At 33.9% G+C, this 16,624-nt stretch overlaps 1 protein-coding gene across 24 annotated transcripts in view; it reads left to right on the forward strand.

The window, feature by feature from the left end:
• Positions 1 to 16,624, forward strand: part of DPP10 (dipeptidyl peptidase like 10) — a 1,403,140-nt gene that overhangs the window by 1,340,443 nt on the left and 46,073 nt on the right. For all 24 annotated transcript variants that reach the window (NM_001321910.3, NM_001399849.1, NM_020868.6 and 21 more), the window contains 2 exon segments: positions 7,998 to 8,096; positions 8,204 to 8,273. In NM_001321910.3, coding sequence (NP_001308839.2) covers positions 7,998 to 8,096; positions 8,204 to 8,273 — 169 coding nt within the window.

A 16,624-nucleotide genomic window follows, 5' to 3' on the forward strand; every position in this document is an offset into this window, starting at 1 on the left:
TTCATTTTTTAAGTTTTATTTAATCAATGCTTCTATTCTGTGATGATTTCACATAAGCTACTATAATCTAATAATGGCTCATATTTATTGACTCACTTGAACTTTGGAATACCTCTGAGATAGTTAATTTGATTATCCCTTTTTACAGGTGAGAAAAATTAGTCTCAAAGAGGTTAAGTGGTAATAACTTGGCCAGAGTCATACTAATAAATGGCAGAACCAGGGATCAAATGAGACAGTCTGACTCGAGAATAGGTTTATAATTCACTACAATATAATAACTACTTTTTCTATTGTGCTTTTGCCTCATGCATTGCATACTCTTATTTAAGTAGGAGTCAGTTAGGTGGCTTGACTTAGAAGATATATAGGTAAAAAAGTGTAAGGTTGAATGACAAATATCATTTTGAGAAAACAGACCAAGACCATTTATATTGTTCAAATAATGTCATATAGACACTTAGTGCATGCCCGAGGCAACAAGAAATTTCTAAATTTGTGTTGGGTTTTTGTGTGGCTGAAAGATGGTTTAGCACACATTTTAGTTTCTATTTATTTCATTATTTCCGTCTTCAGTGTAAACCTTAAAAAGATTATGTTAAGCAAATCAAATATATTCAATATTAACTCTAACGGCAACAATAATGACCATAGACAGTACGGTTGATAAAATGGAAAGAAGGTTGAATCTCATAGATAGAACTATCAGTGTATAAAATAAGTCTATCACATGCTTTTTGTGGGATCCAAGACAGTGCGTTAACATCTCAAAACATCAGTGTCCTCCGAGACAAATAAACAAATGTGTTTGCAGTGAAGATGAGTAACATTCATGACATATAGGACACACTTAATCAATAACTATTTGTGTTACACTGTATATCTTGCCTTTAACAAAGGATGATTAAAAATTTTCCAATCTGATTTTAATTTAATTTTATCCTGTTGTTACAAGGCAATGTCTTTTCTAATAACTTCTGCTGCAAATTACAAAACATTTCTGTCTAAGGGAAATCATGTTATTTTCCTGTTCAAAAGCCAATCATGTTTGTCTCAAGGTCAACAAAAACAAAAAAAGGCTGTGAATAGTGGTCAAGTGCTTAATTTTCTTTTCAAAAGATAATTACTTAGGGAGATAAAATTTATAGTCAATGGCAAGTAAATCTTTGGGTCAATGAAAGCAAATATACCAATGAGTAAGTCATAACTCATTTTTGGGCCACATGAAGTAGAATAGTGCATGGAGAGAAAATTTTAAAAAAGAAAAAGGAAAATATTTAACAAGCATGGAAAACCTTTAAACCCACTAGTTATCAAAGAAACGCAGAAGAAACTACTGCCATGTAATTTTTCCTAACAAATTAATAACATTAAAAATTTACATTACTAATAAAGATAGAATGTGGTAGAAATGTTAATTATAACATATTAAAAATAATAGTCAAAACTTATTTCTTTTGTTTTTTTGAGACAGAATTTCACTCTTGTTGCCCAGGCTGGAATGCAATGGTGTGATCTCAGCTCACCGCAACCTCCACCTCCCAGGTTCAAGCAATTCTCCTGCCTCAGCCCCCCGAGTAGCTGGGATTACAGGCATGCATCACCACGCCCAGCTAATTTTGTATTTTTAGTAGAGACGGGGTTTCTCCAGTTGGTCAGGCTGGTCTCGAACTCACAACCTCAGGTGATCTGCCAGCCACAGCCTCCCAAAGTGCTGAGATTACAGCCATGAGCCACCATGCCTAGCAGAAACTTAATTCTTTTATATCATTTTTTCATTTTTGTAGTTTACACTGAGAAAATAATTCTAAATGGAGAATATTATGACAAAGCTATTGAAAATAGAAAAAGACATTATAAATAACAAATAATGGGAGTTTGTAAGTACATTTTAATGGAATATTACTCAGTGCCCTGGGCATCTTCCATCTGTTTTTCCAGAACCACTTTTAACTCTCAATTCTTCTCTTCGATGTTCTCTGGCCTAGAAGTACTTTCTATAGATGACTTAGGTTCTGTTGCCCCATGGCTTCCAACTGGATTCAACCAAAGGAAATCTTGTAGGCAACTGGAAAGAGGGAGAAAACTGCTCTGGGTTGTTTATTCCACCAGCCGTGTTCCTATGGAGTCACCACAGGTTGGCTGTGACCTTTGGCTGAAGGGAATCTTCACCCTTGACCTTCAGGCCCAGCCACTGTTTTCTTGAAGTTTTCTCTTTTCACTGTGTTTCTGCCAGGTTTTGGTATCAGAATCATGCTGACCTCATAGAATGAGTTGGGTAGGAATCCCTTCCCCTTGATTTTTTGGATTAGCTTCAGTAGGATTAGTAGCAGCTCTTCTTTATACATTTCATAGAATTTGAATATGGATCCATCTGGTTCCAGCCTTTTTCTAGTTGGTAGGCTTTTTATTACTCATTTAATTTCATAAATCATTATCGGTCTGTTCAGGGTTTCAATTTCTCCCTGGTCCACTCTTGAAAGGGTGTGTATGTCCAGGAATTTATCAACTTCTTGTACGTTTTTTAGTTTGTGGGCATAGCGGCACTCATAATAGTCTCTGAAGGCTTTTTGTATTTCCATGGGGTCAGTGGTAATGTCCCCTTTGTCATTTCTGATTGTGTTTATTTGACTTTTCTCTCTTTTTTCTTAGGCTATGTAGCAGTCTATTAATTGTATTTATACTTTCGAAGAACCAACTTTTGGTTTTTATGCTTTTTCACGTATTCATTTCATTCAGTTCAGCTCTGATGTGGGTTTTTTTTTTTTCTTCCTCCTGTAGCTTTGGGATTGATTTGCTCTTGTTTTTCTAGTTTCTCTGAGTGAATATTCACCATTTTTTAAGCATTTAAAATTAAATGCTTAGGATAGCTTCTTTGGAAATACACTAATGTTTAAATAATCAGAGTTTCTTTCCATTTTAAACATGTAAAAAACCTCTTAGAACATCTAGTCTTCCAGATATATATAATAGGGGAAGATATTTACTTACAAAAGAGGTAGTTTGATGTGCCTGAGGTTACACATAGACAGCGTAGTCCAATGGGAGAAACATAAAATTACATGCTTATAACAGTCTATGATTATTTCTCTAGTAAAAGTGCACACAGTTCAGGACAAGAGGAAGTCAATGAGAAGACATTTTCAGAAAAACGAATGTGTGTATACAAACATAAGAACGCATAAAAGTGTTCACATTTGCAAGATAAACATTGTTCATCATAGCTGGAACAAAACATTTACTAAAAGAGCAAAACTATATGAGGCCAGAGGGGCAGACTGGAATTGGATTATAACTCTTATGTTTTCTAAGTAGTTTGGATTCAATCATATTTGTTCAATGATAAACCTTTGACATTTTATTTTATTTTTTTTCTGGCCATGGAGTAACTGGAAATAGACCTGATTCCCTTGTTTCCTTTAATAATAATAAAAAAAAAGAGTAAAGAAAACTGGACAAAATATACAAATCAACTGTTTCCAGACATTCAACAATAGCCAGCATGGGTCTCTGATCCCTGAAAGAAGGAAACAAGTACAATTAGTGTTGTAAGTTCTCTGGCTTTCTTGTTAATAGAAATTTCTGAACTCCAATGCAATAAGGAATAAGCTAATCATAATACAATGATATCTCTGAGTTGAGGAGACAGAAAATGATATTCAGAAAGATTGAGGCTTATGGAATGTTGAGGAATGGTATGGAATTTTATGGAATTGAGGCTTATGGAAAGATGAAACTGGAAATGAAGAAGCCACATGGAGAAAGACATCTGCATAGGGCTGGAAGAGGGATCACCCTGAATCAGCTGCTGAAAATACCTAGCTGAGTATGCATAGGAAGATGCTTCATGAGTGTGGGCAATGCCGGAGCTCACAGAGTGGTGGGATTTGCTCAAGTTATAATCAGCACAGTAGTGGAACATTTAGAAGAGATCCCAGAAGTGTCCTGCCTTTTGTAGTGCTAAACTAGCCATAGAGCAAAGGTCATTCAAATACACACTAAAAAGATTTCTTGAAAAGTCTTGAAATGGTCAACCTGCCTGCAACATATGCCAGAACAAAGTCCAACAATTGTTAGAAGATCACAACAAAACCCAGGCTTTCAAAATGTAAATGTCACAATGGTTGGTATCTAATAAAAAATTACTAGCTTTGTGAAGAAAGTAGAAAATATTACTCATAAATAGGAGAAAGATTAGTGAATAGAAACAAACTCAGAAATGACAGAGATGATGGAAATCACTGGCAAATACAGTAAATTAGCTGTTACAAATACATAAAGCCATCAAGGAAAGAATGAATGTAGAGAGAAAACAAAGATAATATATTTTTATGAAAGAACTTTGTGAATTTAAAATAAAATATTTGAAATATAAACTTCACTGGAAAATACTAAGAACAGATTAGATGCTGCAGAAGAAAAGATCAGTGGACTTGAAACAATATCAGTGGAAAATTTCTTGACACAAATAGAAAAGGAATGAAGAAAGTAGAACCTAAATTAACCATAGGCCAGTATCTACATCTATCATATTTGTAATTAGAGTCAGAATGGGGCAAGGAAACTTGCAAAAAATATTTGATGCAATAACGGCCAAAAATTTTCTAAATCTGATGAAAAAGTTAAAAAAAGTTCAACATAACGGAAGCAGGATAAATGTCAATAAAACCACACTAGCGCACATCATTAGCAAATTATGCAAAACCAATGATAAAGAAAAACATTTTAAATAATCAGAAATTAAAAGACACATTACATCCACATATTATGCACATAGTAAAAACGAATGACTACAGACATCTCATCAGAAAAAAGCAAACTGGAAGACAATAGAACAAAATGCTGCAAATGCTGACGGAAAACCAAACTGAACTAAACAAAAATTCTTAATAGAAAAACAAACCTAGAAGATATTTCTCACTTAAAAATGAAGACAAAAAGAAAGTTTCAATAATAAAAGAAGTGAGAACGTTCTGTCATCAAACTTGCTCTTCTAAATAACAAATTGATCAATAAAAACTAAATAATTAGAAAATATTTTGAGCTGAAGGAAGATGAAAACACATCAGATTCCAATTTACGTGTAACTACAGCTGTGATTAGAAAGAAATTTATGACTCTAACTTATTATATAAAAATAAAAACACAACAGATCCCAATTTAGGGGTTACTACAGTTGTGATTAGAAAGAAATTTATGATTCTAACTTATTGTATAAAAAGAAAAGGTTTAAAATCGATAATCTCCTCTTTCACCTTAAGGAATTAGAAAAAGAAGAGCAAATTAAAACAAAGTTGAAAGAAGGAGATTGAAAAATGACTAAGAAGGAAATGATATTGAACATAGACTAGCAGTAGAGAAAATGTATGAAACCAAAAGTTGCTTCCCTGACAAGATCAATAAAGTTGGCAAAATTCTAGTGAGAGACATGAAGAAAAAGAGAAAAATGTAATGCCATTAATAAAAGAGATGATGTTTATACAAATGCTATAGATATTAGAATGACAATAGTGGAACATTATACGTAATTTTTTGCCAGTATATTAGGCATCTTAGATGAAATGGAAAAATTCCTTAAAATACACAAATCACTAAACATTCACACGAGAAGAAATACAGTATATAAATATGCAATTAACATTCTCCTCACAAAGGAAACTCCAGATGCAGCTAGTTTCACTGGTGCATTTTATGCAACTTTTAATAAGTTAATACCAAGTTTACACAAACTCTTTTTAAAAATATAAGGCAGGCCAGGCGCGGTGGCTCACGCCTGTAATCCCAGCACTTTGGGAGGCCGAGGCGGGTGGAGATCGTGAGGTCAGGAGATCGAGACCATCCTGGCTAACACGGTGAAACCCTGTCTCTACTAAAAATACAAAAAATTAGCCGGGTGTGGTGGCGGGCGCCTGTAGTCCCAGCTATTCAGGAGGCTGAGGCAGGAGAATGGCATGAACCTGGGAGGCGGAGCTTGCAGTGAGCCGAGATCACACCACTGCACTCGAGCCTGGGCAAAAGAATGAGACTCCGTCTCAAAAAAAAATAAAAAATAAAAAATAAGGCGAGTATTGACCAGATTCCAAATCCAGACATATATATTAAGAGGACAAAAAAAAGATCAAATTTTCTCATGAATTTAGGTGCAAAACACCTTAACTAAATAATAGCAAGTCAAACCTAGCAATTATAGAAAGTATGATAGTTTGTTATGGCCATATTGGGTTTACCCAAAGATTCTGTGTTTGCTATAACCTTCAACAAACAATGTAATTCACCGTATTACACTGACACCTCAAAGGAGTTTTTAAAAACTTGAAAATTTTGGCAAACAATAATAATAATAAATTAATAGGAATACCTAATCAAGATAAGATAGAAAAGAAATTCCTGAACTTCATGAATGATATCTGTAAAAATACTACAGCTGACATCATGCTTAATGGTGAAAGAATGATGCTCCTGCCTGAGGACTGGGAAAGTCAAGAATATTTGTTCTCACTCCTTCTGTGCAACATTGTGGTAGAGGACTTAGCCAGTAAAGTGGGTAAGACAAAGAAATATATGCAGTAAAACTGTGTTTATCTGCAGAAGACATACTGTGTACAAAACAAAAAGGAAGGAAACAAAAAATTGTGGAATATACACACAATAAACTATTGAAAATAAGTGAATTTATCATGGTTACATCTGTAGGCCAATACACAAAATTCAACCATTTCATCAATGAAAATGCAAGATTTAGGAGTATTTTTAAAATGCTGTTTAAAGTAACATCAAAAATCCATGGAGTATCTAGGAATAAATCCGATAAAAATGAATACCTCCTCTAAAATCTGTATAATACTGCTGGGAGAAATTAAAGACTCAGATTTCTACAGACATAGACTTGTATATATCTGTATACAATATGTACACATGGATATATGTGTGTACAATATGTATATATGCAAACATATATGTGAATGTATATATATGGATTAGAAGGCTATTTTTTTTTTTTTTTTTTTGAGACGGAGTCTCGCTCTGTCGCCCAGGCCGGACTGCGGACTGCAGTGGCGCAATCTCGGCTCACTGCAAGCTCCGCTTCCCGGGTTCACGCCATTCTCCTGCCTCAGCCTCCCGAGTAGCTGGGACTACAGGCGCCCGCCACCGCGCCCGGCTAATTTTTTGTATTTTTAGTAGAGACGGGGTTTCACCTTGTTAGCCAGGATGGTCTCGATCTCCTGACCTCATGATCCACCCGCCTCGGCCTCCCAAAGTGCTGGGATTACAGGCGTGAGCCACCGCGCCCGGCCTAGAAGGCTATTTTTGTGATGTAAAGTCTCTCCAAATAGATCTATAAATTTAATACAGTGCACGTACCTCAAAATTCCAGCAAGTTACTGATGTCCACTTCATGTTTTATCAAATTTTTTGATGTTTCATTTTTGCTATTTCTCTATTACTGTATTTTCAAGGTCATTACTCTTTTGTTCTTCAGTGCCTAATATTTTATTAATATCACCCAGTATATTTTTCATCTTAGATCATATAATTTTCATGTATTTCAGATTCTGCAGTTTTTATTTTTAGAAATATATAACATGCTCATGCTTTTTCTACCTTATTAAATACCTGAACTACAATCCAGGTGTCCTCATCCTGTGTTTCTGTATCCCTTTTAATTGGTATAGGTACCTAGGTATTGTGAATCGCATCTCATTTGGTGCTAGATAATCTTGTATTTTGCTAAAATATTCTTAAGCAGGTTAACAATATGATCAGATTTGCATTTTGAAAACGTAAATGATAAATTTAATATAGAAGCAAATGAAAAAGTTTTACTGGCCTAATGAAGCTTACTTAGAAAACTGTTGTAGTAATTCAAAAGAGAAATGATGAGTTAATCAGCACAGTGCCTGCCAAATGGTAACAAGTGGATAATTTTTTGTTGTGTCACACTGATTCTGTTTAATGCATAGGGGTTAGCTATTTACACTACCCTTTTTGGTTTACAGAATATTTTATATTGGAAAGCAATTCTATGCTGAAGGAAGCTATCCTGAAGAAGAAGATAGGAAAGCCAGAAATTAAAATCCTTCATATTGACGACTATGGTAAAATTTTGTGCATGCTATGTTATTCAAGAACAACTTTCTCTGCGTCTTATAGTTTTACCTGCAAATGACTCTCCATCTTTAATATTTTGCTCTTTCTTTAAAAGAACTTCCTTTACAGTTGTCCCTTCCCAAAGATTTTATGGACCGAAACCAGTATGCTCTTCTGTTAATAATGTAAGTATTTTATTTGTTTTTAAAATAAAGGAATCTAAAGATTTTATATTTTTGTGTCTCACATGACAACATTTGATTCAATAAAGAAGAGAAGTCCTATGTGTGTAGTTAATCAGGACAGCTGTCTGTTGTCTAAATTCCTCTAGAAGTCCATCACTAAATCATGTATAAAGATGTGTAAATTTTTTTGAACTTCTTGCATCCCACATGGAGTTTGGTGCTACTGCCAGGAATAGTGACACTAAATAGTTTGATTTGTGGGTGTCTGCTTAGCAATTACTCAAGCCCTGCGCTCTTTATCAGTTGTTTATGCAACATTGTGGAACATGTAATTCCACTGCTAAAACAATGGGTTATGTTTGTATCACTCCTATTGATTTTTCCTCCTGCATGCATGGCCTGCAGTAAGCTGCTCCTATGCTCAGAAAACTTGACTCAAGTTTTTTTCATCTTGAAATTGACTTTGAAGTTAAATATCTTTATACATTTTGTAAGGCTATATCATGACTATATAGTATTAGGCACCGAGGCCCCTAACATCTAATGCGTAACTAACTTGATATTGATTTAGCATTGTATTCCTGAGAGTTATAAGTTATTTCCCTTATTAATATGATCAGGTAGCATATTGATATAATAGTGCTTAAAACAGTCTAAAATTATATCTTTAGATACAATAATTTCTTCAGATATAATATTTAGAAATAGTAAATATGAAAATAACATTGCTTATTATGATCACTGAGTATAGTGGATAAGTATTCAGTCTGTGGAATCGGATTTCCTGGGTTCATATTCTAGTTTTGCTATTTATTAGCTGTGTGTCCTTGGGCAAGTTCCTTAACCTCCTACAAGGCTAAGTTTCTCTAAATATAAAACAATCATTACAATACAACCTGTGTTTTAAGACTGCTTTGTAGACTGAGTGAAATACAACATATAAAGTCCCTTAAACAGTGCCTAACACATATGATTCTTATAATTATTGCGATTATAATTCTTTTTTGTATAGACTGCATTTATTTTATTTAGATATTTTAATATATACAAGCAATTTGTCCCTTTATTTTAACAAACCACATAATACAGAAATAATATAATATTTAATTTTCTCTCTCACTCTAGTGTTCATTTCTAATTCTAATTATTGAGCTTTATATAGTTTCTCATATCCAAACTTTTCTCCCTTGTCCCTAAAAGCCAGAAAGCTCTGAAAGTTCTTAATGTCTCCTTGAGGAAGTTCTTATTTGCTGTTTCTTAATTCATTGTTTTTTTTTCTTGTCTTTTTTACCTAGTTTCTTCTGGTCTATTTTAACTGTATGTATGATTTACTGAGGAAAAATGTTTAAGGCACTAAAACGAGACAAAAAGAAAGCAAAAATCAAACCCATCTTCTATCTCAGTCACGTCTCCCTTTGGTAAAAGGAAATGTTCTTTTGATTCACTGAAAAATAAACTTTCTCAAGGAAGGGACATCCCTCAGGCACATCCTAGGCATCCCTCAGTATGTGATGACCTTCAAAATGGAAGATAAAAGAACTGACTGCCCTTGAAGCATGATATTTATGCAGACGAATGTGTAGATAATTATGCCCACTTGCGTATCCACCTGCTGTAGGGCAGTGTCACACATAGGGGGAAAACCGAATAAGAGTTAACAGAATCTCTTTGTTTTCTGAAACAGATAAGCTAACTGGCTCATCTTGGCATCAGACTTGTGTTTTGTTCTGGTTGATTTTTAGTTTATAAGAGGAATATAAGGACCTACACAAGAAACCAATTTGAAGACTTCTCTTATTGGCAAGGGGCACTTGGGGTTTTTTTTGAGAAGTGGGATTTTGGAGCAAAATGCTGGTTTTGGAGTCAGGTAGGACTGGGTTCAAGTTGGAGTGCTGAGATTTAACAATACACTGCTGAATTTTTTGAATCTTCTGTTGCCTTATAAATAAATTGGGGAAAATAACATGGGATAATATTTCTATTTAAATATATTACCATAGTTTTTGGTAGAGCATAAGCACTTGCAGATAGTCTTTAATAAATCATAAGCAGAATTATAATTATTATTAGTATGGTGCAAAAGTAATTGCAGTCATTATAAATGGCAAAATTATAAGTAATTGCATTACTTATAAATGCAAAAACTGCAATTGCTTTTCTGCCAACCTAATATGGATAATAGTATTTTAAAGTATTTAATGTGATTAATATAAATATTTAATGTGTAATTTAATGCCCATAAAGTTATTCAATAGACAGACACTACTAAAATAGATAAAATAGTGCCGTCAGACCCATGGAATTTACTTTGCTACTTTTTTGGTTGATACAGGAAGAATGAATGAAAATGAGTATAAAATCATTTCTAGTTATACTTTGTTATATATAGTTATATATTGTTTATACTAAATATTAATTGACATTATCCACACTTTTGGGTTTTAGAGGGAAATTATCGAAAGCGTCACAGAATGTGACTTACAAAATCCAAAAGGAGAATTTCTTTTTTTTTAAATTTATACTTACAATATGATCTATTCTTTTAAATTGCATGATTATTTCTAAAACACTATGCTTGAAAACATATAAGGGTCAGAATAGCAAAAGTAGAAAGTGTTTTTTAAGAATTTTAAAAACTGCCCATGATTTAAAGCCATATTTTTTCTCAAGCTTAAAAACTGTTTTCAGTGACAAATTGACTTCCCATTCTAAAAGTAATAATAATTATTATTTTTTTCGCAAATGAGCAATTAGACAGTGATAAACAATAGAGCGACTATTATTTAAATGAGTCTAAGAGGTCATTCAGTGATTTTGGTGTCAGTACTTTATTGCAATTTTGTGCCATATATCTGGTAGCCAACAGAATATGAGCCATTTCTTGATCTGTAGTGATGGGTTTACATCCAAGGAATTATATAATGAATGCATGAGTTAGCGTCAGGCTGCAGCAAGCACCTGAGTGGCTGAAAGAAAGACTGCCCTGGAAGAAAGTGGCCTCTGGCAATTTGGAAACCCAGTTCTGCTCAATCTTCATTATGGATCTTCAAAAGAAATGGTCCTCTGACCTCCCTTGCTTGGTCATATGTTTTGAAACTCAAACTTAATCTCGTAACATTTAAAATGTAAGTGAATCAAAGATCAATGTCAATGTCACATTAAAAAGAGTATGCGGGATGGAGTACATACCACATTAATATTTTTACTGTAGAATATTTTTACCATAATGGAAAAATCTAAGAAGCATTGGCACCATAGATGGATCTCAGTGACCTGAGTTTGCTGTGGTCTCTACGGAGTCATGATCCCCTTTTTCTGAACAACTCCTCCAATTCTCCCTTCAAGTGCCTATTTGTTTTACTCCTGCCTTTCTGTTTAACATTATAGGGAGCCCTTAAGGACCCGGAGTCCTTATTCATTTTTAAACTTATTCTATACACATCTGTATTCATTCCAGCTCTTATAACCTCGTATTGTTCTTTTTTAATATTATTCTTACTTCCTACTCATGTTTATGTAATTTAATACCATACACGTCTACCACATTGCTTTTACATATGAGAAGCCGTGTTAATGGCTATGGGGAGATAACAAGATTGCAAGCATCTTGAAGTCTATAATAGTTATTTGGGTTTGTTCAGTCTATCTCCGCAATGCCTAATACACAGAACTTACTGACTATCCTGTAATTACCAAATAGTGCCAAGACTGAAGGTGTTGTGGAAAATGCCCTGCACTTGCAGACGTTCATTTGGTAAACAAACAAATATGAATCTAATATACTTAGATGCTGATAAAAGCAATCCAGAAGGTTGTACTGTTATTTAAAAAGAAGGGATTTTTGTTTTTGTTTTTATTTTCTGTCCCTCTGAAGAGGAGCAGCATCAGCTCAGGAGTTTATTTCAGTACCAAGGGCCCGTCATCTCTTCCCATTTTCTACTTTTTCATGCTCAAGTTATCTTGCCACACTCGTTAAAGGTCTAATAAGGGAGGCAGTAAATGTTCAACAGATTATATTAACTTCCAGAATGCAACATATGCTATCTTGCCTCCATGACTTTCTTTCCTTTCTCTGAATTCACCTTCCTTGAAATCCCAAGAAATTCATGGTCATCCATCAAGTCTTATCTTCCTGGAGCTTTCTTCCATTCTCCTCCTCTGTCAGCCTATGGATCAGGTCATTCTAACCGGAGAGCATTATTCATTTTTATCTAGAGTCTCATCACTGAATGTTCTGTGTATCAGAATCCTATAATTGGGTCATCTTGGTAGAAGTGATCTGTTTTCTATATAAGTATTCTTTCAAACAGCATGATATAAGTAACTGATCATTCACAATGAGGGAATATATTCAGTTATTCATATCCAACAGTCAAGATAACATCATTGCTGGTTTGTTATACACACATTTCATTTCCTCAAACAACTTGAAATATTGTTTAATATTTTAATTAGCATCAAGCTTCAGACAAGTCAGACATCCTATCTGGATGACTGAACTCTAACCTGCTATACTATTCTCTACTTACACTTCCTTTCTTTAGTTTATTGCTTTTTGCTCTCTCTCTCTTTTAGTTGCTTTTCCACTCTGCTGCTAGGTTGAACTTGGCAAAATCCATATCTGAGAATGTAGCCCTCCTATCTAAAATCTTCTCATTATTCATTCATCATTGATTAAAGCTCTGCGTTTTCCCTCACACTACGTAACAGTCTTCATGATATATTTTCTATTTTTCTCTTCGTTTTTATCTCACATCAGCCACCCCCAAAGAGAAATCCCATCCTTTAGACAGACTGCTTTGTTCTGGGGAACACCACCACTTCAATCATCACTTGTGTTTTCACATAGCCTCCCAGTGCCCTGAGTTTGCCTGCCCACCTGGAGAAGTTCTCTTAAGACTTCCAGACACACTTCCAGATAACTTTATGCACACCGCTATTACAAACATGTAACCATACCAGATTACAACATTTACTTTGCTTTCTCTCCTGTTAAACTGCCAATTCCTTTTGAATAGTTTTGCCATACCGCACTAACTGGAGCATTATTTGATAGAATAAATGAATGAATATATGAATACATCAATGAATAAGTAAACAAATCAATTAACCCTGAGTTTGTCCTCAAGAATGAATTAAGTCGAGATGGAGAAATGGAGAAATAAATGATTTGTGAGTTTATAATTGATTTCTGTATGGGTCCATTTCTCTGCAATTTAGTTTTGTACTCAGAATGAGACGCGAGTTTCTAATTTCTCTTATAGTCTTTCTGGATAGGGCTGAATATTGATTGATTTTCATGCTGTCTCTTCACTGTTTCTTTTTACAATTTTTTTACTTAGCTTAAGATAATAAGAATTGATATTAGCTACCATTTATTGTTATTGTGCAAAGAGTGTCTTGCTGAGAATATTTAGACATCATCTTTAGTCCTTATAGAAATCATCCAAGGTGAATACTACTGTCCTCATGTTAACACAAGGAAACTATAACTAAAATAGGTCATGTATGTGTTCCCCCAAGTTCACAGAAGGAAAAGTTAAGGTTTGGACTCAAGTTTTATATATCTATTTTCTGTATTAAAACCTCTGCTGTATTACCCAATGCTGCCTGCCTACATAGTCCACCGTATTATGATAATTATTGGCATATTATCAAAGAATGATGACTTGAATCAGAAGAGGCTTCTCTACTGCCAAATTCTTATGAACTTTTCTTCTTTCCACTGAACAGTTTATAATAGTTTCTGGAATATAACATTTTCCACATGTACTATGTTAATGCTTTGGTGTAAAGTATTGATTATACAAATCATGACTGAGTTCATGAATATTCCACAAGAGAGATCAAATTCTCAGCTCAGATTATTTAATAAAATTCTGAATTCTCATCAAAATGTTCACTTTGTGGGAAGTCTTTTCTACTCTGTATTTGTTTCATAGATTCCTAGGGTTTTCGCAGATCAGATTGTGAGAGGTGAGTTCATTTTGTTTCCCAAGGATGAAGACATATATATTCCAATAACTTCCAACATCATTTGATCTTCTATTTGTTCATGCCAAATACACATCTACTTTTACCCTCAGTTTCTTGCAAAAATAGTACATATACCGTCTGATGTGGGTGAAAGAGATAGCTTGTTGATATTAATGTTTGTCTCAAAGAGGGATTATTATTGCTTTGCCATATAATGAGGTTCAAAGCTTAAATTTTAGGTTTATCATTTTTGTATCTTTGTCATTTACATGGATGGAGAATGTACCCACACTGTAATACATAGAAAATGACTAAGAAGAAAAAAGGCAGTGGCATTTAATCTTGTTAATAGAAGGGGAGAAGGTGATCATTTGTTTCTGTTTTTTTCTTGAACATATTTAAACTTGTTCTTTCACAATTTGTAGATAATGCATCTTAAATGTCAGCATTAACTTCTTACCACTATTTAAAGTTGTACAAACTCAAACTTGCTGTATTAAGAAGGTGACATGGGGGAAAAACCCAAATTTAGATAAATTTATAGATAATGCCTAAGCTATAATATTTGTTTGGTGTTTATTTTAACTGGAATATATATATATGTGTATATATGTGTGTGTGTGTATATATATATATACACACGTATATGCACACACAGAAACACACATGCCATTTTAGGTCTTCTGTTAACATAGGTTTTAGATATGCATGGATTCACAGAATTATATGAATGATATAATATGGTTTCATATGAATGATATGGGCTTATTAATAGTTCCTATTTAAAACTTACATGTATATGACATATTTACAGATACACTACTGAATACTTTTTATAAGAAATATTGAACTTCGTAATTTACAAAGTTCTTAGTTTTAGATGGTCATATAAATGTAGTCATTAATGTAAGGGTAATTCATATTGAAATCAGTCTCTTTTTCTGTTTTAATTAGTTATTTGTTTTTAAGAAAAAACATATTAGGATATAAGATTAACTATATTATTAGTTTAACATGACTTTGAAAGGTGAAGTTAAAAATACCAAGATACAGTGTATTCTTTCTTGGTAATCCCACACATCTCCACATCAGAGGAATACATCAATGACATTATGTTATTCCAGGATTTTTTAAATAATATATTCTTTCCTTTTGACTTATATATAAAAACAGTACATTATGAATCATGTAAGGCTGTGTAGCATGTAAGTCAAAGTGTGTCTATGATGATGGGAGGCTAGGCCAGAGCTCCAGGCTTTTCTAGTCCAACATACATATATTTTTGAGCAACAAGTAATGTGCAAAGTTCCCTACTAAAAATTACAGGGCTTCTAGGAGATATAAAACTTGGGAAGAAACTAATAATTATTGTATTTTTAAAAGAAAACCACAACCCAAATAATACAATTGTTATTAATATAGTAAAGTTTTAATCAACGTTTTGATTTGGAATCATTCAGTCATTTTCAGCATTGGACTTTAGCACTTGTTCTTCCTCTTGGAGGGCATTCTCTTATAGCCGTTTTTTCTCATTTTTAGCATGCCATTTTAATCAAAATTATAAACCTGATCTAGCTGTAGCCTTCTTCATTAATCCACTATCTGAGTCCATGTCTTTGTAGCCTGTATGATTAGAGCTCTCAGTTGTCACCTGTCCCTCAGTAACATGGAGGAAGCATAATCAATTGGAAGTTGCTAGATCAGCCACAACTCACCCTAAAAAAGTGCTTCCGTTGATTTTTAGCTTTTTTATTAAGGTTCCAATATATTGCTAAGACTTTTTCCTTACTTATAAGAAAATGTGGCTCTGATTTCCTCTAGACATTAATACCTTGGGAAAGGCTGTGTCTGCGCCACTATGACAGTGCATTATACTGACATAATCTCCCTGTTTTTCATCACATAGAAAACATGTCATACAAGATAAATCTATGTTGCACAAAACATGCTGCATCTTTGGGAATTAAAAGTGTTGAAAATTATATTGATACATATATGTTAATGTATAGGTTATATATATTTTAATTTATAAGGGCACACAAAAAAAGTCCATCTATATAACATGTAGTTTACACACTTCCTATGCTTTTATTTTTTCTTTTTTTATTAATATTATTATACTTTAAGTTTTAGGGTGCATGTGCACAACATGCAGGTTTCTTACATATGTATACATGTGCCATGTTGGTGTGCTGCACCCATTAACACGTCATTTAGCATTAGGTATATCTCCTAATGCTATCCCTCCCCCCTCCCCCCACCCCACAACAGGCCCTGGTGTGTGATGTTCCCCTTCCTGTGTCCATGTGTTCTCATTGTTCAATTCCCACCTATGAGTGAGAACATGCGGTGTTTGGTTTTTTGTCCTTGCGATA

This window comes from Homo sapiens, chromosome 2, assembly GCF_000001405.40.
Source record: "Homo sapiens chromosome 2, GRCh38.p14 Primary Assembly".
In the NCBI taxonomy this organism is placed as follows: Eukaryota; Metazoa; Chordata; class Mammalia; order Primates; family Hominidae; genus Homo; species Homo sapiens.